Source organism: Homo sapiens, chromosome 4 (assembly GCF_000001405.40).
Source record: "Homo sapiens chromosome 4, GRCh38.p14 Primary Assembly".
Taxonomy (NCBI): Eukaryota; Metazoa; Chordata; class Mammalia; order Primates; family Hominidae; genus Homo; species Homo sapiens.
In genome coordinates, this window is record NC_000004.12 from 139,490,605 (window position 1) to 139,512,415 (window position 21,811).

Genomic DNA, 21,811 nt, shown 5'->3' on the forward strand with positions numbered 1-21,811 from the left:
AATGTTCTATAGCTGTATTTTTCACATTAAAAAAATGAAGTCTTTAATCCACATATAGTTGATTTTTATATAGTATGAATTGAGGATCTAATTTTATATTTTTTATATGAATATCTAATTGTCCTGACACCATTTATTAAGTCACCCACTTTTTCCCTATTGAACGATAGTGACCATTCTATTATCAATGAAGGCTCCATATATGCCTGGGTCTGTTTCTGGGCTATTTCATTTAATTGGCCTATTTGTCTGTTTCTGGGCTGGTACTACACGTCCTTAATTCCTAAAGCTTTCTATCTTGATATTTGGTAGGTCAAGTCCCACATCTTGCTCTTCATCCACAGTTTTGGTAATTCTGGGGCCTTTGTTGTTTACCTAAATTTTAGATTTAACTCATCAAATAAAAAACAATGTTGGGATTTTGATTGGAACGCTTTGAATTTATCAGTCCACTTAGGAGAATCAATATCTTAACAATATTGAGTTTTCCTGGCCAAGAATATGGTAAATCTTTCCATTTATTTAGGTTTTCTTTAAGTCTTTCTTTCTTTTTGAGACAGGATCTCACTCTGTCAAGTGCAGTGGCCTAATCATAGCTTATTGCAGACTTGAACTCCTGGGCTCAAGTAATCTTCCTGGCTTAGCATTCCAAGTAGCTGGGACTATCAGTGCACCCCACCATGACTGGCTAATTTTTTTTTTTTACTTTTTGTAGAAACAGGGTCTTGCTATATTGCCCAGGCTGGTTGCAAACTCCTGGGCTCAAACAATCCTCCCACCTCTGCCTCCCAAAGTGTTGGGGTTAGAGGTATGAGCCACCATCCCCTGCCTCTTTAATGTCTTTCAGTGAAGTTTTATAATTTTCTTCTTAAAGGGTTTGATTGATTGAATTCTTTTTTTTGAGACAGTTTTGCTCTGTCGCCCAGGCCAGAGTACAGTGGTGTGATCTTGTCTCGTCTCACTACGTACGATCTCTGCAGTGTTCAAGCGATTCTTGTGCCTCAGCCTCCCGAGTAGCTGAGATTACAGGTGTGTGCCACCATGCCCGGCTAATTTTTGTGTTTTTAGTAGAGATAGGGTTTCACCATGTTGGCCAGGCTGGTCTGGATCTCCTGGCCTCAAGCGATTCTCTTGTCTTGTCTTCCCAAAGTGCTGGGATTACAGGTGTGAGCCACTGTACCTGGCCAATTTTTATATATTAATTTTGGATTGAAGAACCAAGTGAAACATTTATTAATCCTAATTATTGGAGATTCTTTTTGGTGTTCTACAAAAATTATATCACCTTCAAATAAAAATAGTTTTTTTCATTCTTTCCACCTCCTATAAATTTTTTACATTTCTCTTGTTTTATTGCACTGGGCAAGATGTCCAGCATGTTATTAAATGAGAGAGGTGACAGCTGACATCCATGTCTTGTTCTTTATCTAAAGTAGAATGCTTTTGACATTTCACCATTAAATATGATGTCTCCTGTAGGTTTTTAACAAATACTGTTTTTTTTTCTTTTTCTTATTAACCACCCCTCTCCTCCCCAGCCTCACCCTGCTTGTTTTGAAGTTATATAACTTTATTACTCTGCTCCATACTGGGGCAAGTTCTTAATGTAGTATCTCATTTAATCTTCACAATAACCTTTATGAGACAGGTATTATTGCTTCTCTTAGAGAAGTTAACTTTACTAAAATAATATTGCTAGAAGGAATAGAGCAATGGAATACAGCAAGAATTTAAAGCCAGGCTTGTCTGATTCTGCAGCCTCTGCTCCTCTCAGAAACGTGTGCTGCCTAATGCTTGGGTTAAAATTTATCCAATACAGGGAACCTTAAAGGAGATGAATTGTAGCAGGCGGAGGCAGAATAGAGAAGGTGGGTAAAGAAAGGAAGTGAAAAGAAATGGAAATTCATATGGACAGTGAGAGCCACCTCACCCCAGCATGTGATTTTGAATTTGCAGGAAGCAGGTATGTCACCTTGATTAGGCTGCCTTCTCCTCCCCATGCCTTCTTCCAAGACCTCCTGAGGTGTCTGTAGCTGTGGCAATCCAAATTGCTATTGGTTGACAATGCAGACACAGCATTTTCCGCTACTTTCTGCTCTCATCCAATCACAATTGCCCCCTTCCCTCCCTCCCTCTTTCTTTCTCTTTCTCTCTTTCTTTCTTTTTCTTTCTTCCTTCCTTCCTTCCTTTCCTTCCTTCCTTTTTCTTTCTTTCCTTTTTTACCACCAAATTGGCTCCTCTGATTGCTTTTTCCTGGAAGTCATCCACTCATCACACAAATCCTGTGTTAACACTTGTTATTCCCATTATGCACTCATGTTTAGCCTTGCATTTCCTTTGATGAAGAGGAATAAATTAGGAGATGGAGATTCATAGGGAAAGTTCATTCTTTTATTTTATAAATATTAAACAAGCATCCCTTATGTTTCAGGCACTGTGTAAGGGACTAAGGATGTAGCAATAAACAAGACAGGCAAAGGCTGTTCCCCAGTGATGCTTATGTTACAGTGTTAGAAGACAGAGGAATAACAAATACACAAAATAACTGTGGATTAGGGATAACAATGAAACAATTTGGGTGGTAAGACAGCAGATAAGTTGAGGAGGCCTTCTGAGACATGACGGTCAAGGAGGGCACCTCTGATGAGGGCGGTGTGAGTCAAGGGCTGAAGGGTGACAGAGAGAAGCTATGCAAAGAGCTAGAGGCAAACAGGCAGAGTAATCAGCAGGTATAAAGGCCTGGATCCAGGAAAACGCTTGGCAAGTTTGAGGAACAGAAGGTCTGGCTGGAGTACAGTGGGTGGGGGAGAACGGACTGAATGATACTGGAGAGGGAGCAGGAGCCAGTCCATTGTAAATAGCTTGGATTTTATTCTAGCTGCAATGGAAAGCCATTGAAGTGTTTCAGCAGGGTGATGGCAAGATGTACTTTACTATTTTTTTTTTTTTTTTGAGACAGGGTCTCACTCTGTTGCCTAAGGCTGGAGTGCAGTGGCACAATCCCAGCTCACTGCAGCCTTGCCTTCCTGTGCTTAAGTGATCCTCTCACCTCAGCCTCTCGAGTAGCTGGGACTACAGGCATGCACCACCAGGCCTGGCTACTTTTTGTATTTTTTGTAGAGATGGGGTTTTGCTATGTTTCCCAGGCTGGTCTCGAACTCCTGGGCTCAAGTGATCCACCCACCTTGGCCTCCCAGAGTGCTGAAATTACAGGTGTAAGCCACTGCGGCTGGCTGCTTTACTGTTTTACATTACTCTGATTACTTTGTGAAAAGTGGGTTGGAGGGTAAGCAATGAAGGCAGCATGCCAATGGACTCTACTTCTTGTACATAACTTTTCTGGAGGCTCACTCAGTGACTGCCTGCCTCCCTTGCCTGACCTCTCGTTGGCCAAAACTGAATCTGGTGGCCAGCCTTAGCTGCAAGAGATCCTTGGAATGTAATTATTTTAGGCACAGGAAGACAAGGGGAAAATGGCTTGTGAATGTCTTTTGGGTAGGCAATCCACAGTATCTGCCACTAGGGTCATCTGCACTGTATCTGAAACAAGCCTGTGAAATAGACGAGGCAAGTCTTATTTGATTAATCTATAAAGGGGGAGGATGGTTAAAGAGCACAAAGATCATAGGTAATAGAGCAAGGGCTTGAGTCCAGATCTTTTCATCTCAGATTGAATGTACTCTCTCACTACCTTTCATTATTCTAGGCCCCACAATGAACTGATCCTGGTCACACATGTCCTGCTGTGTCTACTGGTGAACCATTCTTTCAACTCTGTCTTCAATATCCAGCATACCTGAGCAATTATTATGACTAAACAGGCGCTGGGAGGATGCTAGGTTATTGAACCTAACTTTAGAATGGACAGGAGCCTTCTAAAATATGGGAGGAAAAATAAATCAATAAACAGTGTCTTTTGTTACACTAGGAAATATTGTTCTGCCAAGCAGAATGATAAAGTGTAGAGCATGTACCCCAGGGGATATGAAAGACATTCCACTGGAGTATGGGAAAAGTATTAGAATTCTGTGTTTGTAAGGCTAGAGATGATATCAACATAGACACAGAAGTTCAGTATTATTAATATCTCATACATAAATTGATACTGGATGTTGGACAGGCACATGCCTTATGCCTATGGAATTCAGGAATTCTGATTCTACAGCATGGAGTGGTTAACAGCAGCATCCTCGCGGTTCACTCACTTTCATGGATTATGACAATATGAGTTTATAAAGAGCTTGGTTAAGCGGATTTACTACAATATTATCTTAAATGGGAAACTAGAATTCTTTTTAATGAGCTGGGGAATGCACATGAAATTCTACTTAGAAAAACAGTGTTTAATCTTGTGAGATAAATATGTAAACATTATATGTAATGGCACTATAGCCAGAATATGACATTATAGATTTTAAGCAGTAAGTATTTAAAATGGACATATTTTTCCAGATTAATGCACAATCTCTTTCATTCATTCTTTTGTACTTTTTCCTTTAACCAGTTTGGATGGAAATATCTCCAAGTAATATCATTTCTACTGTGAAAATTAAATGAATTAACTAATGAAAAGTACCCAGTTCAGTGCTTGCTGCAGAGTAAGTCATTCAATAAATTACAGCTATTGTTTCTCCAGAAATTCAAGGAAGGCAACCACAAGCTGATGGGGTGTTTATTCACCTGGCTGTCTTCTTTTAGAGGTTATATCAGGACACATTCATTACCTTGGAAAATTTTCCTCAGCAATCAGAGAATTGCTTAGTGAGTAGGAAATCAGAACCAGGGGCAGTGTGTTAGTCCATTTCCACACTGCCTTAAAGATACTACCGGAGGCTGGGTAATTTATAAAGGAAAGAGGCTTAATTGACTCACAGTTCTGCATGGCTGGGGAGGCCTCAGGAAACTTACAATCACGGCAAAAGGCAAAGAGGAAGCAGGCATCTTCTTCACAAGGCGGCAGGAGAAAGAGAGCAGGGGAAGCTGCCACTTTTAAACCATCAGGTCTCATGAGAACTCCCTCAATATCATGAGAACAGCATGGGGGAAAATGCTGCCATGATCCAGTTACCTCCCATCAGATCCCTCCCACCACATATGGGAATTACAATTCAAGATGAGATTTGGGTGGGGACACAGATCCAAACCATATCAGGGAGTTTTCAGTTATATAAACGTAATGTTTAATGATCTCTGATATATTCACTTTATAATAGGGATTAGTTGCCAGTGGGGCCAGAAAATTCAAGGAGCATGATTGCTTGGGCAGAGTTAGGTAATGTTTGCCTCTGTGACACTGTTTTTTTGGTACGTTTATACCTAATAACCTGGGTTTAAACTTTTTTTGTAATTTTTTATTGTGGAGATTTCAAAAACATATAAAAACACACATATAAGATCATGAACTCGTACTCATCACCCAGCTGAAATCCTTATCCACATGTGGTCAGTCTGGTTTTATCTACACCCACACTTCACTTCCCTTATCTCCCATATTAGCCTGAAGAAAATTCCAAATATCCTGATTGTTTTAAAAGATATTTTATCTAATCAAGTCCTGCTGGTTTGAGGGTCTTTTTCCCCCCTCTGGTGACTTTATTTATTGATTTCTCTGGCACAACTTATTAGGTATCTCTTTTCAGATCTTAAAATGGCTCCCAGAGTGCGATTTTGAGTTCTTGAGGGAAGCCTATGTTCTGACAATTGCCATTATCAGTAGGCAGAGTTCATTCCATTCGCTTTTATCTTTTCTTAATTACTCACGAACATCATTATGAGCATCAGTCCTTGGGCTGCACTATAAAGAGGAATGCCAGCTTTTCTGTGTTCTACCCAGGGCGCTTGATCCAGATGTGGGATCTTTGGGAGTGGAGCCCCAAATCTGCTTCTTTTACACGTTCCCAGGTGATTCTTCTGGCCACTGAAATTGGAGAAGCAACTGGCTGAGAACGTTTTCAGAGATTATTAAGGTACATAGATCTCAAGCCACGGTGCTGAAAAGCCAGAAAGGAGACTTTTAGAAACCCAGCTGCATTTTTCTAAATCTTCTCCATCCTCTCTTTTGCTGGCTCTGACTTTTCACTGGGTCAGAGGCTCTAAGGCTGGAACCTGATGTTCCACGGGGACTGTGTTATGGTTGTTCTTCTACAGAGTAAAGTGCATGAACTGAAATAGCTATTGACTGCTCAGAAGTCACTCAGTCTCAGGTTTCTGGCTGTGTTCCACATAGCTGTAGGTTTTGTAAATCGTACTTAGATAAGTTGTGTTCCTGTACACACACACACACACATGCACACACACAGAGTCCGAGTGCTATAATAATTCTGATAAAGAAATTTCAGAGGCCAAGCACAGTGGCTTATGCCTATAATGCCCAGCCAGTACTAATGATCTTATAACTCGTGTTTTACAGATAACTGTGCTCCAGGCAGAGAGAGATTTTAAAGACCTGTATGACACAGAAATGCTTCTGTTTGTTTTAAAAGATAAACCAGTTTTGTTCAACTTTGTTTACTGTAGGCGCCAGAAGTGCTATTAGCCCTCTTGAAATTTGGGCTCATTTAAAAATAAAGTCCGGGTGCGGTGGCTCACGCCTGTAATCCCAGCACTTTGGGAGGCCGAGGTGGGCGAATCACCCAAGGTTGGGAGTTCCAGACCAGCCTGACTAACATGGTGAAACCCTGTCTCTACTAAAAATACAAAAATTAGATGGGCATGGTGGCAGGCACCTGTAATCCCAGCTACTCGGGAGGCTGAGGTAGGAGAATCGCTTAAACACGGGAGGCGGAGGTTGCAGTGAGCCGAGATTGCGCCATTACTAAACTCCAGCCTGGGCAACAAGAGCGAAACTCCGTCTCAAAAAAAATAAAATAAAAAATAAAAAAATTTAAAAAGCCCTGGAAGTGGTGTCTTAATTTAGCTAATCAAAGTTCAACCTGATGATAGGAAAGAACATCAACTGAGTTTTCATGTTTTTTTTGTTTTTTTGTTTTTTTGTTTTTTTTTTAGACGAAATCTCTCTCTTGTTCCCCAGGCTGGAGTGCAGTTGCGCAATCTCGGCTCACTGCAACCTCCGCCTCCTGGGTTCAAGCGATTCTCCTGCCTCAGCCTCCTGAGTAGCTGGGATTACAGGCGGCGCCTGCCACTACGCCCGGCTAATTTTTGTATTTTTAGTAGAGATGGGTTTTCACCATGTTGGCCAGGCTGGTCTTGAACTCCTGAGCTCAGGTGATCCACCCGCCTCGGCCTCCCAAAGTGCTGGGATTTTTAAAATGTGTTAAATCATCCTTTCCCTAGAGGTGTTTGTTTTACAGCATGTCAGAAACAGTATGAGAATAAATCCTCACCACAAGAGGGAGCTGGACCATGAAGAAATTAATGGGTTGTTTTGGAAATAGAAATAAAAACTGGGAAAGTGCAGGAGATTTACGGTAAGACCATCAGTATCATCAGTGGTGACCGTTATTTGCACTAAGTGATTACTTCATTCTTTCAGTTGCTCAGATCAAAAACTGCGGAGTTCATCCCTGATTCCTTACTTCCTATTATATTAAAGCATGTCTTTTAATGCTGACTCTTTGACATCTAGGGCCTTGTGGGCTCTGGAGGGACTGCCCCCCACCCAGGGCTAGCTGATTCCTAGAGATAGCAAAGGCCTGGCACCTTTCACATGCAACCTAACCAAATCAGCCTCTGTGCCTACAACCACTTCCTTCTTAGGCCTCTTCCACTCCAAGCCACCATTACCCCAGGGTCAGGTACCAGACAACTAAAGACAGCCGGTACACCCCAGAATCTACTGAAGTTATTCAAGCTAGCCAATCCCAGGCCTGCTGACTGCCTCTCCATTTCTTCCTGCAGACACCACAATACAGGTTCTTGTCTACGTTTTCTCTTTACTCCATCTACCTCCTACTTGATCCTGGTGCTTCCCCATGTGGCCCCTGTAACATGGTGTGCCCCCTCCTCTTGGGAACTGTGAATAACAAACTATTGTTGGGGTTCAGAAGACAATATCCAGAAATGAAGGCCTCAGAGGCAGCTTCAGGAGCAAAGATTTTTCTCTGACTTTCTCCTGCCCTTCTGTCTCTGAGTCCCATCCTTCCCAGAGGCTGCCTATAGACCCCAAGGCAGATCCTGCCAACCAGAACTATTTTTCCCCAAAGCCAGCCATAAAACCTAAAAATATCACTCTAACTTTCCCTCTGCCTTTCTGTGTAAAAACTGACCATAAAGAAATTATCTCATGCCTGTAATCCCAGCACTTTGGGAGGCCAAGGTGGGCGGATCTCTTGAGGCCAGGAGTTGGAGACCAGCCTGGCCAACATGGTGAAATCCTGTCTCTTTTACAAATACAAAAATTAGGCATGATAATTGTTTGAACCCAGGAGGCAGGGGTTGCAGTGAGCCGAGATTGCACCACTGCCCTCCCACCTGAGCAACAAAGCAAGAGTCTGTCTCAAAAAGAAAAAAATTTTCTGACCTACCTTGTTTGACTATAGTCAGAAGACCCCCATTCCAGAAAGGGCACTAAAGCTGCCTTTGCAAAATTATAGTCAGAGAAATCTGACATAACTGACTATCTTGCTTCTACCAGGTTAACTTGCTTGTCCTCATTCTTGTGTGGAGGCCATAATAGTCCTTTCCTTGAACTGGTCCCTTCCTTGTTCAAAAATGGAAATCGAATTTGTAAAGACTAACAAGAGGACGCAAGGTTAGAATTATGGTAGAGGCTTGAACTTTGCTAAAGCATAGGCTGAGTTAAACAATGACCTGCCATTGCCAAGCTTGTTTTTCTGTAAGTTGCTTACTGCCCCAGAGTCGCAAGATTTATAACTTCCCCAACTACTCCTGTAGATAACATTACTACTGTGAAACCTGAAGAATCGGTCTTTGAGATATTTTTCAGATTTAGCATTTCAGCAGACCCAGAGATGCCACCTGGTCCCAAGACCCCCCCTCCCAGGAACTGATTCAGCTGCATGAAGACAGTTTAGACACCCCTGTGATTTTATCCACAGCCAATCAATCCTTTCAGTTTCCCAGCCCCCTTCCCACCAAAGTACCCTTAAAAACCCCAGCCTCTAAATTCTTGGGAAGGCAGATTTGAGAAATTTCTCCTGTCTTCCTGCTTGGCTGGCCCTGTGATCATTAAATTCTTTCTTCGCTGCAACATCTGCTGTTCTCAGTGCACTGTTTTTTTGTTTTCAGGGCAGTGGGCAAGAAGAACCCACTGGGTTCTGACAACCCTGCCCCATACCCAGAAGAAAGGAATGCATGCTCAGAGAGGCCAGGAAGAATCTAGACAGAGAGGTTTTGCTAGGTTTTCCCACTCAGCCTGTTAGCATTAGATCATGCCGTTTTTGTCCAAACATATTTCATACTTCATTGAACCTAAGTATAAAAATGGCCAATTTCCCCTATACCTTTGGATCATCATTCTAAAGGCTCTTGTGTATACACATTAAATAAATGTATGTGCTTTTTCTCCAATTAATCTGCCTTTTGATTTTGAGTTGATTTTTCAGCAAATTTTTGAGAGCGGCATTTGTCTCCTGATCTGTTGGCCTCACCATTCCTGAATAATCAGTGAAATGCCTAATGCCATATCTCAGCACATTCTACTGTTTCTTCCTATGATGCACGCCAGTTCAACCACTTCTCCTCACCATGGCCCCTCTGTCCTGCCCACCATCATCATGAACCCCCTGCTTCCACCTGGGTCCCTACTCCCACTCCAGCCTATTCTCAGTACAACAGCCTGAGTGATCCTTTTACACGTGGGAGGAAGATCTTGTCATTCTTCTGTTGAGATCCTTCCAATGAAAGGGCTAACAGCAATTACAATTTCAAAAGCATTTTCAGAAACTGTAGTAAACTAAGTTTAAGAAAGCTGGTGGTTTTTGTTTGTTTGTTTTGTTTTTTTGAGACGGAGTCTTGCTCTGTCGTCCAGGCTGGAGTGCCGTGGTGCCACCTTGGCTCACTGCAACCTCCGCCTCCCAGTTTCAAGCGATTCTCCTGCCTCAGCCTCCTGAGTAGATGGGATTACAGGCATGCACCACCACGCCCAGCTAATTTTTGTATTATCAGTAGAGACGGGGTTTTGCCATGTTGGCAAGGCTGGTCTCAAACTCCTGACCTCAGATGATCTGCCCACCTCAGCCTCCCAAAGTGCTGGGATTACAGGCATAAGCCACCGTGACTGGCTGCACCACTGCACCTCGCACTCTGAGTTTAAAACAAAGTCCTTGAAATAGTTTTCGGGGCCCCTGTAGAATTTGATTCTCTTCTCTCCCCACTGGCCGGTCCCCTGGCCTCCTGCGCTTCCCTGAGCATTCCCACCTCAGGTCGTGGCTCTCTGCGGCCCCCCTCAGCCTGAAATGTTTCCCCTGGAATCTCCATAATTTGTTCTCTCTCTCAGGAAATGAGGTCTTCCCTGACTTTCCCCCACAAAAAAATAGCACCCCTCTTGGCCCTGCACACCTCCTCACCCTCTTTATTCTCCTCTCTTTGTCCCATACCACTTACCCAGGCACATACAGTCATTTACTTGCTTCTTATCCGTTTCCCTCACTAAAATGCAAGCTCCACAAAGGCAAGGATTTTGTTTTTATTCACTGCTGATTTGCTAATGGCCCAGAAGAGGGACTGCTATGTGGTAAAGCTTAAGAAATTCGTGCTGAACTTGGATGAAGCTGGAGGCCATTATTCTAAGTGAAGTAACCAAGGAATGAAAAACCAAAACCCGTTATGTTTTCACTTATAAGTGGGAGCTAAGCTATGAGTACACAGAGGCATTCAGAGTGACATAATGGACTTCAGAGACTCAGAAGGGGGAGGGTGGGAGGGAGCTAGGGATAAAAATCTACATATTAGGTACAATGTACATTACTCAGGTGACAGGTGCACTAAAATTTCAGAATTCACCACTGGATAATTACTCCATGTAACAAAAAACCACTTGTACCCCAAAAGCTATTGAAATATATTTTTTAAAAAGGTACTCAAAAAAAAACCCCAAATAAATAAATAAATAAATAAAAGTACTCTAGTTCAGTCACTCCCACATCACATGCCTAGAAAGTGCTTTGTGCACATCCAGGAAGATATGCCTAGTGATCCCCGCAAAGCCTGTCATCTAAGGGAGAGGCCAGCTAGATGCTTCACTCATTAAACAATCGAGAACACACAATAATGGTCTGGCAGTGTCCATCCACATGTGGCAGGGCAGCGGAGACACGGCAGGTCCCGAAGAGTCAGGCCAGGCTTCCTGGGGCAGGGGCTCTTCACGGGGGACTGCTTGGAAGGAGGCAAGCTGTGGCTATGCCTGGAAAGGTGGCATCCCAGAGCAGGCGGAGCAAAGTTAGTGAGCTCAATCCATGGGTCAAAACTCAATCTTTTTTTCCCCCAGTTGTCATCACAGTTTAATTTTACAAATAGAAAAAACTGAGGCACAAAGAAGTTATGTCACACAGCTAGAAATTGCAAGGCTGGGATTTCAACCCAAGATGATTACCCAATTCTCCTAATCATTACAATCTCTCATTCATGCACTCACTCTACGAGTATTTATTGAGTGCTTACAGTGTATCAAATGTTAAGGATATGTTAGTGAATAAAACAAACTAAAATCCCTGTCTATTCTAGAGGGAGGAGAAAGACAATAAACAATCAACATAATATAACTAAGTTCTACGGTATGCTAGAAGGTAATGAGAAGCATGGTGAAAAATAAAGGAGGGTAAAGTGGCCTCGGAATGCTGGGGGAGGAGAATGTTGCAGTTTAAGTGGGGTGGTCAATGAAGTCCTCATGCAGCAAAGACTTGAAGGGCACGAGGGCAGAGCCTGTGGCTCTCTGGGAGAAAGACATGCCCAAGAGCGGGGCAAGCCTGGCTCTCCTGGACTGCAAGGGGGTGGGTGTGGGTGGAGCACAGGAAGGAAGAGGGAGAGAGGACATGAAAACAGTCTTCTGAACCCCACAGCAAATCCTTATTTGCCAGAGAGTAGTCGAAAGCCCAGCGTCACACAGACAGTGGCAAAGCCGGGTGAAACCAGTCTGACTCCAGATCTCAAGTCCTTTCCACCACACAACCCTCCCTCTGCCACAGCAGAGAGGCAGGAAAAGAGAAGCAGAGGCGGGAAGAGGGAAACCCCATCACGGAGGATGCTTCACGTGGTGGAGGCAAAGAATGAGAAATGAGATGGGATGGAGAAGCTATGCTGGAAATCCAGGCAGAGGAGGTGGAAGTTCGGGATCAGGATAGAAATTGGCTGAGAATAAAATTATAAGAAGCTGGTCTTGCTGGGGGTGGTGGCTCACGCCTGTAATCCTAACATTTTGAGAGACTGAGGTGGGCGGATTGCCTGAGCTCAGGAGTTCGAGACCAGACTGGGCGGTGAAACCCTGTCTCTACCAAAATACAAAAAATTAGCGGGGCATGGCAGCATGCTCCTGTAGTCCCAGCTACTTGGGAGCCTGAGGCAGGAGAATTGCTTGAACCTGGGAGGTGGAGGTTGCAGTGAGCTGAGATTGCGCCACTGCACTCCAGTATGGGCGACAGAGTGAGACTCTGTCTCAGAAAAAAAAAAAAAAAAAAAAAGAAGCTGGTCTGTGTGTTGCATGGATTGGATCAAAGAGGGACCCAGTCAAAGAGATCAGTTGATTGGTAGGCTAAGTGGATGATGATCAAGGGAAAGGAAGACACAGGATACTAAAGGTTGGCCTTAACCCCTGGAGAGCAAGCGGAGAGAAGGGCAGGAGAGAGAGCTCCCATAAGTATGGTTAGGAGAGCAGCAAGGAGCCCAGCTGCCCGGCTTCAGACTCTGCCTCTATGGCTTTCTACTTCTGCGACCATGTGCCTTAACCTCTCTATGCCTCAGTTTTTCTTTCTGTAAAATGGTGTGGTAACAGTACCTATATATATGGTTGTTGAAAAGATTAAATGAATAATCTAAAACACTTAAAACGGCCTGATAAAACTCTAGATAAATATATCTTTGTAAACCCCCCTCTACAGCCCCCCTGATAAATTCTCTAAACTGATTTGAATTATTTTTAAAAATCCATTTATTTAATTTATTTGAAGAGACTAACCTCCCTTCTTCTCTGAGGAAAATAAGAAAACAAAACTCATGATGCAGATGAGGCAGACACTGTGAGTGGTCAACCCAACTATCATTTCCCTTTCCTACTTGCTGGGAGAGCCCCAAACTGGTTCAGGCCACACAGCCATATGCTTCACTCAGATAATCATAGTGCCCCTGTAGCCATTGCCAGTGATTGGCTGAGTTTCCTCAGTGATAGAGGCCATAGAAGAGACTTTCCTTTTCATCTATTGGATGGGGCCAAATTGGCTGTGATGGCTGGAACCTGGGCAGCAATGTTGTGGCTGTGAGGGAGCTAGCCCCTGAAGGCAAAGCAGACAAGCTGAGAAAGGCAGAGTGGAAAGATGGGAAGAACTTGGTGGAGCTGCTGAATTAACTGTAGGGCCACTCAGCACTTCTTGTTATGTGAGATAGTAAACCTTCTTTATTACTTAGGCCATATTGAGTTGAGCTTTGATGTTTCTTGAAGCTGGAAGCATTCTGATACTTACAGAAGTAAAAATTTGGTAGCAATCTAGATGGATCCATTAATCTTTTTCCGTGTACATTATAAGAAGTGAAGCTCTAAATTCAAAACCCTGGCTTTTGGTTTTTGTAAATAAACAAAACTTAAGGAAAAACACATTTATCGAGCAAACCACTATGTCGTGAGGGAATTACCATGATCTATCTGTCTATCTGTCTATCTATCTATCTATCTGCAAGGTAACAGTCATTTTCTGAAATACTTTTGGAGCAGAAACCCCTTTTCTGTTTTTCCTTTTTTTTTCAGCTTCAAGAGGAGGAATGGAATTTCTTCTTCTTCCTCTTATTTTTCAACTAGAGGCTTCTTATTGAACAATCCCAAATCAGTCAGATGCTGAATTGAAACTAAATGAAACTACAGCATAAAGTCCTTCGATAGCTGTTACCTAGTTCTAGAGATGACTGCTGAAACAATTTCACATTTAATATAAACTAGCAGTCTGAATGATTCCAAACATTTAAACCCAAAGGCAGATATTGGTAACCATCCCATTAGTATAGCTGGGATGGTTACTAATTTGGTCTAACATAATTTTGTCTTAATTTTCACATTACCTCATTCTACAACATTTGGGCCCAAATCAATCATCTTAACCCATGAAAGTTGCCCAATCTTTCACTTTCAAGGTTAGCTTCTTAAGCTTCCCTCAGTCTGTATTAAATTTTTAATCCTGTATTCCCCTTTCCCACAAGGAAGAAGAATATTAATATTGTGATTTGACCCATGCGTGTTAGAGGGTGAAGCCTTGCCTGAAAGATCTAGCATGTGAATGTGTCTGTGCAGGTGGAAAAGCTGATCCAACATCAGTTTGGACCCAGTCATCTCACTCGTTTCTGTTTCCTTCCTTCCATGGAAGGAAGTGTGATAAAATCAAGGATTGGGCAACTGAGGGAGGTAAAATAAAGCAGGAGATCTCATGGCCTGCTTCAGTTTGAGGCCTAACTGTGCCTCGTGTAGCCCTGCCAAACTTCCTAGAATTCACTTCTTTGGGGTCCTGGGCAGAAGGCCCAGCTAATAATGAGGTACTATGTTGACTCCTTTTGTCACTGGCTTTTGTGCTTTACAAATGTTGACTGGCTGGGCACGGTGACTCATGCCTGTAATCCCAGCACTTTGGGAGGCCAAGGCAGGCAGATCACTTGAGGTCAGGAGTTCAAGACCAGCCTCGCCAACATGGTGAAACCCCGTCTTTACTAAAAATACAAAAATGAGCTGAGTGTGGTGGTAAGCGCCTGTAATCCCAGCTACTTGGGAGGCTGAGGCAGGAGAGTCGCTTGAATCCCGGAGGTGGAGGCTGCAGTGAGCCAAGATTGCACCACTGCACTCCAGCCTGGGTGACAGAGTGAGACTTCATCTCAGATTAAAAAAAAAACGGAAATGTTGACTGTGATTAGGGCAGGAATAAGGGATTGCCAGGGTTCTCAGCTCAGACTCATCCTCAGACTGCCAAAATCTACCACAACGTCTAACAAAATTTCTATATTTTCTTTAAATCATGAATTGAAGTTTCCTTTCAGCTATTTGCCCTGATCATCTCATTTGCATTCCATACCCTTACCATGTATGTATTCAATCCGACACTTTCTGTTGGTGTGGCTAATCCTTCTGGATTTATGGGTGTATGTGGAATCATATCAAATCCTCCGCTCTTACTAGAATGCTCTGAAAATGATAAATGGCTAATAATATTTTAAAACAACTTAAAATGTAAAGTTCACTTAGTAATTTAAATATACAGGTAGACACATTATAAGAAAACCATTATTGCTTTTCTAACCTAGATGACCAAAGGAAGACAATGACAGATGATTGTATATTTTGTTTAATACTTGCATTGTTTCTATAGCGCAATTATAGCAATCTTTAAATTTACTTTCATTACAAATATTTGTCAAGTTTTGTTTCAGAAACATTTTTCCTACTCTCTTGCATCATGCACCCAGACACACTACAAAAAACTCATTCATAACACAGTAAGGGCAAACATTATTCATGTAAACATCTTTCATTAATTTCCCATAATTTAAAAAAATCATAGAATTATAGATATTGAATAAGGCTCATAGTTTTAGTTCAAATTCCACAAGAGACCAAAGATGCTCGTTAACCGTGATGGGGTTAACTTTTGGTTGCAATAAATGCTGAAAGCATACCCCTGGCTTCTACTTCTTCAACATACCTCACAACCTAATAAATGTATTTCAGGATAAAGAGAGAACATAGAACACCCAGGAGGAAACTTTTGAAGAAGGGAGCTCAGAATCATGGACATAATTTTCCTATGTGATAAGCAGGTATTACGTAGTCCCTGTAGCTTCCCAATACATGAATCAAGGTTAATTATCATAAACCAAAATGTAACCAAGTAGATATGTTGATACATTGGCATGTGTGTTCGTATTGCTACTATACACAGTGAAAATTTATCCTAATATGTATCATTTCATTATATCCAGGACCAAAGTGGAAAAAAAACCCCACTCAAGTTGAATATCATCATAAAGGAGTTTTTGTTTGTTTGTTTTTTCAATAACATAAGAGTCAGGAGAGTTGGGAGGTATGTCCTAGGGATGTGATTGACTCTTGACATTTAACAACTTTGAACAACTGTGTGTAAAGTCACAGACAGAGGAAGCAAGGATTTTTGTTATCGGAGGACGTCTCTCTCTCTGGTTGGAAGTTTGGTGCTTGGGTGCATAGTCTTCCAGAGCTGAGACAGGAAATGTACTGTGCTGAGAAATGGGCCCCTTGCCAGATGCTCCCCTCTCCTTCCTCTCTGCGAGGCAGAAGTCAGAAGGTAGAGATTGCTGGCAAAACTGTGAAGTCCCACCCTGGGGTCTCAACCCCAACTCCACTGAGGGCAGCCTCCCTGACGTGTGTGACTAGGCAGTAAGGGTGGCGGTTGATGGCGGCCGGGAAACCGAGTTTCGAGGTTCACATGGCCAAGTCTGGCTTCTGATTCTGCTGCCCTGCAAAGAAATTGTGCTCCAGATAACTGCACCGGTGTCTCTAATGCCTCTGATTCACTCTCAGGCCCCTCAAAGGCCTGCAGTGATATCACTAAAAGGTGAACACACCTCCATTAGCACCTAACTTCCACCAGGAAGCGGCTGAGGCACTGGGGAAGCCTACGAGCTCTCTCCACGTCAGGTGCAACAACGCCGAGGAAGTTGCTGAGAGTCAGAGTTATTGTAGGCTTTTGATTTTTAAAAATCAAAATTGATCTGCATTACATCTCAATAGACTCAGATAATTCTCACCAAAATTTTTGTAATGTGTTTAAGTAGCACTGGAATAATTCAACTTCATTTAAATATATTCATTCTATCATGAAAATATTTCATACAAACATCTATTTACATACAAACACATTAAAATTTGTGAAAAGGGTTCCCACCCCTGTGGTTGTATGGCTTGAAATAGTTTCATTGCTTTGAATATGTACGCACACATTTGGCAAAAGAAAACTATTACAATTTAGTATTTTTAAAATTAAAAAAAGTGACAACGAGTTTCCAAATTCCTGAAGGGAAAGATAAAAGAAAAACAATAATAATCTATCAAGGTACCCCAAGTAGATGTAAATTTGATATACTTTGTGAACCTTTGATCTGTGGCAAATAAACATTACAACTGTCAGTCTTGCAACATAGTTTTGCTTGTTTTTCTAAAACAAAAGATATCTGGATTCTAAGTCACTACTCTTAAGACAGAAGCTTGAGGCAACTGTTTTAAAACAAAGCAAAACAGAAAATGATACCTCTACCTTCTTGGAAGATTTTAAATGCATGTTGCAGTGAGTGATTTAAATTTTTATATATTAAATGAAATTTACGAAAAGTGCCACATACTGTCTCCTGGAGAAGACAACCCTTTAATTCACTGTTCACAATTAATGCAATTTTAATAGTTATATTTAAATGTTAAAAATTGTTACATTTGGCCTCATTGGCCTTTCTGGGTGGGTCGTTGGTGATAAGGAAATAGTTTTTCGAGTGTGAAGAACCCCCATAGGGCAAATAGGTTTAACTACAGTCCTAGACAGGTTCAAAGAGCTCTTGGAAAACTAATTTCCTTCTTAGTGTCTCAGGTAGATCAAGGATGAAGCAAGTTAAAATAAGAATAGGTACTACAAGACTCAAGAACTCCTCACTGCTTTCTTTTTGATCCCATCATTCCTTTGTGTCGGAAATTCAGTCTTTCCAGTTGTTTTTGTTAGTCCATTCAAATGTCCATTTGGGGACATGCTCCTACAGGTTAGTTCCTATTCCTAACTCTAACACAAGATAATATTTCATCACAGAAAAGATGCTAAGGGAAGATCTGGTCATGCAGGAGTTGGACTGAGACAGCTCTGAGTGAATCTCCTTGAGATTACAGTGTCGCACACACACATAGGCTCCCGCTGTTTTTCAGGAGAGCATAAAGTTATTTCTTTATTCCCCACCACATGGAATCTTCCACGTCTGCTGTGATTCTGATGCGATGAAATGACCAGATGCAGCGGCTTCCTGACACATTTCCTTCCCCAGCAGATGTAAAGTAGAAAAATACATTCTGAGTATTCTTTTCCACTTGCGTTTAGGTTCAAACGGGAAACAAACCCTTCCGTCCTCAGCTGTTAATTCCTTATAGAACCTCCACTCCCTTGACTTCTTTCCCTACCTACAGAACTCAGTGAATCTCAAGCCTTACTCCGATTCCAACCTGCCACAGAGCCTTACATTTGGGAGTATGTGTGTGTGTGAGGGGAGGGGTGGGGAAGACAGAGCCAGAGACATAAGCAAACAGAGAGGCACACACAGAGGAAAAGCCAGATGAGCAGAGTCCCAAAGACATGCACAGAGCCAGAGAGACTCAAGAAAGGTCAGTGCAGGGGACTTGGAACAGGGAACAGGAGAGGGCAGCTGGGGCTGCTGTTACCCAGGATGCCCAGGCGTTCTCACATATGCAGAGAGAAGAGGAAAGAGAGCCGGCCAGAGAAAGAAGAGCTGGAAGACACAGAGAGTATGAAGAGAGTTGGGAGGAAGACATGGTGAGGCTCAGCGTGGATGCATTGCTTCCTCTGATTTGCGTGGAGGTCACAGACACACTGCTGAGTTTTAAGCTCAGAGTGTTACCATTCAATATCTCATCTGAAGAACTGATTAGCAGACTAATCACTACTTACAACTCTTCAATTCCTTCTATCCAATGTTGAAAAAAATTCCATTTGAATGGGATAATTAGAGTAGCCCCCACTTAGGACGTAAATTGTACCCCACTGCAGCCAGGACCAGAATGCTATCACTCTCAGGAATGAAATCATTCAGAGCATAGCTGCATCGGGGGCATGACCAGCACTATCCTCTCCCTGACCGTATTCCCTGACCTGGCTGCACAACCCACTTGATCGAGGTTAATGCAAGCCATCTTTCTCCTGAAGACAGTCACTCCCTTTGGGCACATTTAAATTAAAGCACCTATCAGAATGCAAGTCCAGAGGCCCTGGCCCATCCGTCACAGTGTATAGAACGGTCTCTTTCTACAGAGTAAGAGTGACCCTATCCTGGTGCCTTTAAATCTAAAAACTATTCAGTTCCTTTGGTGGGCAATCTTCCTGGAAGCACTGACAACTTCCTCTCATGGGTGAACCATTGGCTTAAGCTTTCAAGCAGGGATCCAACTGGATCTCCCTGAAACCACTGCCACCTAGCTGCAAAGCATGCAACCGGGTGCTCTAGGAAGCCTGGTGTTGCAAAGAAGGGAAGGGCAACTCTGTCAATGTGCCCAAGGGCCACCTGAAATGAAAGTCATGAGCAGCCTGGGATTAAGCACTTTTGTTGTAGTCTTCATAAAGCAATGTGCAACTGACAAGAAATAGCAAACTTCCTTCTGCCTATGTCCTCACTCTTCTTCCACTGAAGCCTTCTCTCATCAGCTGGAGCTCACTATCTGCTACAGCTTGGAAGGCCTTCGCTTTCCAGACCAAACTGACTCAGGTGACAGGAATCACAGCTGACAGCTACAGATCAGCACAACAGCTGCTCTCCAGTCCTTCCAGCCGCTGCATCGAGGTGTCTAAAAGAGACAAAGCTATGGCATGTGGTGAGGGTGCTTATAAAAAACAAAACTCTCAGGATTCATTCAGAGCAATCCCAGTGATGTTACAGATCTAATTAGCTAAACTAAAAAAACAGGGGTTTTCTCCTTATTTCTGCAGTTGTGATTACACATGGCTGGCAAAATGGCTGAAATGCTATTGATAGTGTTGCTTTTAAACTATACAGGTGTTCAGTCTTAGTTTACAATGTTTTGAAGCAGGTAAGTGCTTTGAAATTACAATGATGAAGAGTTTTAGCATCAAGGTTTGATTTGTACCTAGTAATCAGTGTGTCTGCCTTAGTAGTACTGACTAAAAAAATTTTTTTTTGAATTCTGTTAGAATTCAAATTTGCTGTTTGACTTTTGAATTCAATGCACTGTGCCACAAGCCTGACCGCGCTATGTTATGTACATTTAATGTGTACTCAAGGAGGAAAAAATTACTAGCACTACTGAAAATATTGCAAAATTGCCATAGTTACCGCTTAGAGATACTAGTTTTCTTCTCTTCTTTCTTAAAGTATATATTACAACTCTTCCATAACTTAATGCAAACAAAGTAAATTCATTTCTTCTCACATCTTAAAGCAAAGATATCTTTGTTTACATGCGAGAATAATATTCTATAATAATACCCTGGCCCTATGAGCCAGTACTTTATATTAGGACATAATAATAAAATGATGATATAGAAAGAACCAGAGAGACCTACACACTGCTATTGATGCAAAAATCCATTTGGAAGTTTTCTCTTGTAAAGGGTATCTAAGAAAGAGAATAGGGCTGAGGGGTGAAATGACTTTAGAAGTGGGCTCCTATTTACTAAGAAAAAAACCAAAGCCATTCTATTGCAAGATACAGATCAAAGGTTAAAAGGCAAATTATACTACATTTAGAGAATAAAGATGTAGTAATTGTCAACCCTTAATACGGCACATATGCAAGTGTGCTAACACAATTTGCACTGGCCATAGGAAAAAAGCACTATGGAAAAACCACTGACTAAAAATGACTGAAAAACCCCGTTTCCCTGTTTCAGTCTAATCATTTGGCATCTCCGAATGTGGTACAGATTTAGACTTGAACCACCAAAGAACATCACGCTGTCTTATGTCAAATGCTCGACAATACCTCTCAGTAGGACGTTGTTGCAAGGCTAGCTAATTTTAAATCTGGTATGAGTAATACAGTCAAACCTAGTTAGTATGCGAGAAAGTCGTTGCTAACGCATGGTGAGAGGATGTGACGTCACAGCATGAGCAGTCCCTGGTTGTCCCATTGTCAGATAAACGTAGTGCATAGATCCAAGTTTCTATTCCAGGTCTCTGAACCCCAAAGCCAGGCCTTTCACTTTTGCTGGGTGGCCTGGAAGGCCTTCAGCTCCACCTGGTACCACTCAGGGGCTTCAGGCCCACTCTTCCCGGGGGGGCTGTGGTCATAGCCATAGGCAACGGTGAGCTCTTCATCGGCCTCCACTGCTCTCAGGGTGCGGATGCATTTGATGGGCCCAAAACGGGGGTGGACAAACCTAAACATCAAGATGCACACAGTCATTCCCGGGCCAGACCAGGAGGTTGGAAGCAAAGGCTAGGGAGGGGCTGATACAGGAATCACCCCCAGGCACTCTTCCCTGGGCACACCTGGTATGTGCCCAAAGTGTGGTCACCCAGCATCAGTTTCACCCGAGAGCTTATTAGACATGGAGCATCTCGGCCCCATCCCAGACCTGCTGGATTGCAATCTGCATTTTAGCGACACCCCCAGGCGATCCACTGGTGTATTAAAGTTTGAAAAGCACTGCTCTGTTTTTTAAAGCATATTTGGCACCTTGCATTTATAAACCAACAATCATGATCAACAACAAAAATCTGTCGTTAATGAGAAATCAGATCCAGTGCAGCCCGCCAGCATTTGAGCTTGTCTGGCCAGCAGCATCAGATTACGTGGCTGTATCTCAGGGAGAAGGCTTCACCAGAGTGCTTTTGGAGTTGTAAGAAAGAGCCCTGTGGATTTTCAAAGGCAAAAACTCTGTATTCCACCCTATACATAGAGAGGAAATATTATTTTCTAGCATGAAAGTAGATGAAGATTTCTTCCCAA

The 21,811-nt window shown here is 42.5% G+C and overlaps 1 protein-coding gene across 3 annotated transcripts in view, besides 2 other annotated features; it reads right to left on the reverse strand.

Annotated features, from left to right (window-relative positions):
* Positions 1-2,369: 2,369 nt before the first annotated feature.
* Positions 2,370-21,811, reverse strand: part of SETD7 (SET domain containing 7, histone lysine methyltransferase) — a 63,246-nt gene continuing 43,804 nt past the window's right edge. For 2 of the 3 annotated variants that reach the window (NM_030648.4, XM_017008661.1), the window contains one exon: positions 15,434-21,239. In NM_030648.4, coding sequence (NP_085151.1) covers positions 21,059-21,239 — 181 coding nt within the window. In that variant the 3' untranslated portion in view covers positions 15,434-21,058. Of the gene's footprint in view, positions 5,918-15,433; positions 21,240-21,811 lie in introns of those variants that run through there. The other variant, NM_001306199.2, reaches the window with a different exon arrangement.
* Positions 7,191-7,485: a silencer, noted in NCBI's record as "tiled region #15265; HepG2 Repressive non-DNase unmatched - State 8:EnhW". NCBI's record gives its function as "represses a minimal TATA promoter and a strong SV40 promoter by Sharpr-MPRA in HepG2 cells {active_cell/tissue: HepG2}" and the evidence as "EXISTENCE:reporter gene assay evidence [ECO:0000049][PMID:27701403]".
* Positions 13,227-13,276: a silencer, noted in NCBI's record as "silent region_15702". NCBI's record gives its function as "represses an Ori minimal core promoter by ATAC-STARR-seq in GM12878 lymphoblastoid cells {active_cell/tissue: GM12878}" and the evidence as "EXISTENCE:reporter gene assay evidence [ECO:0000049][PMID:35858748]".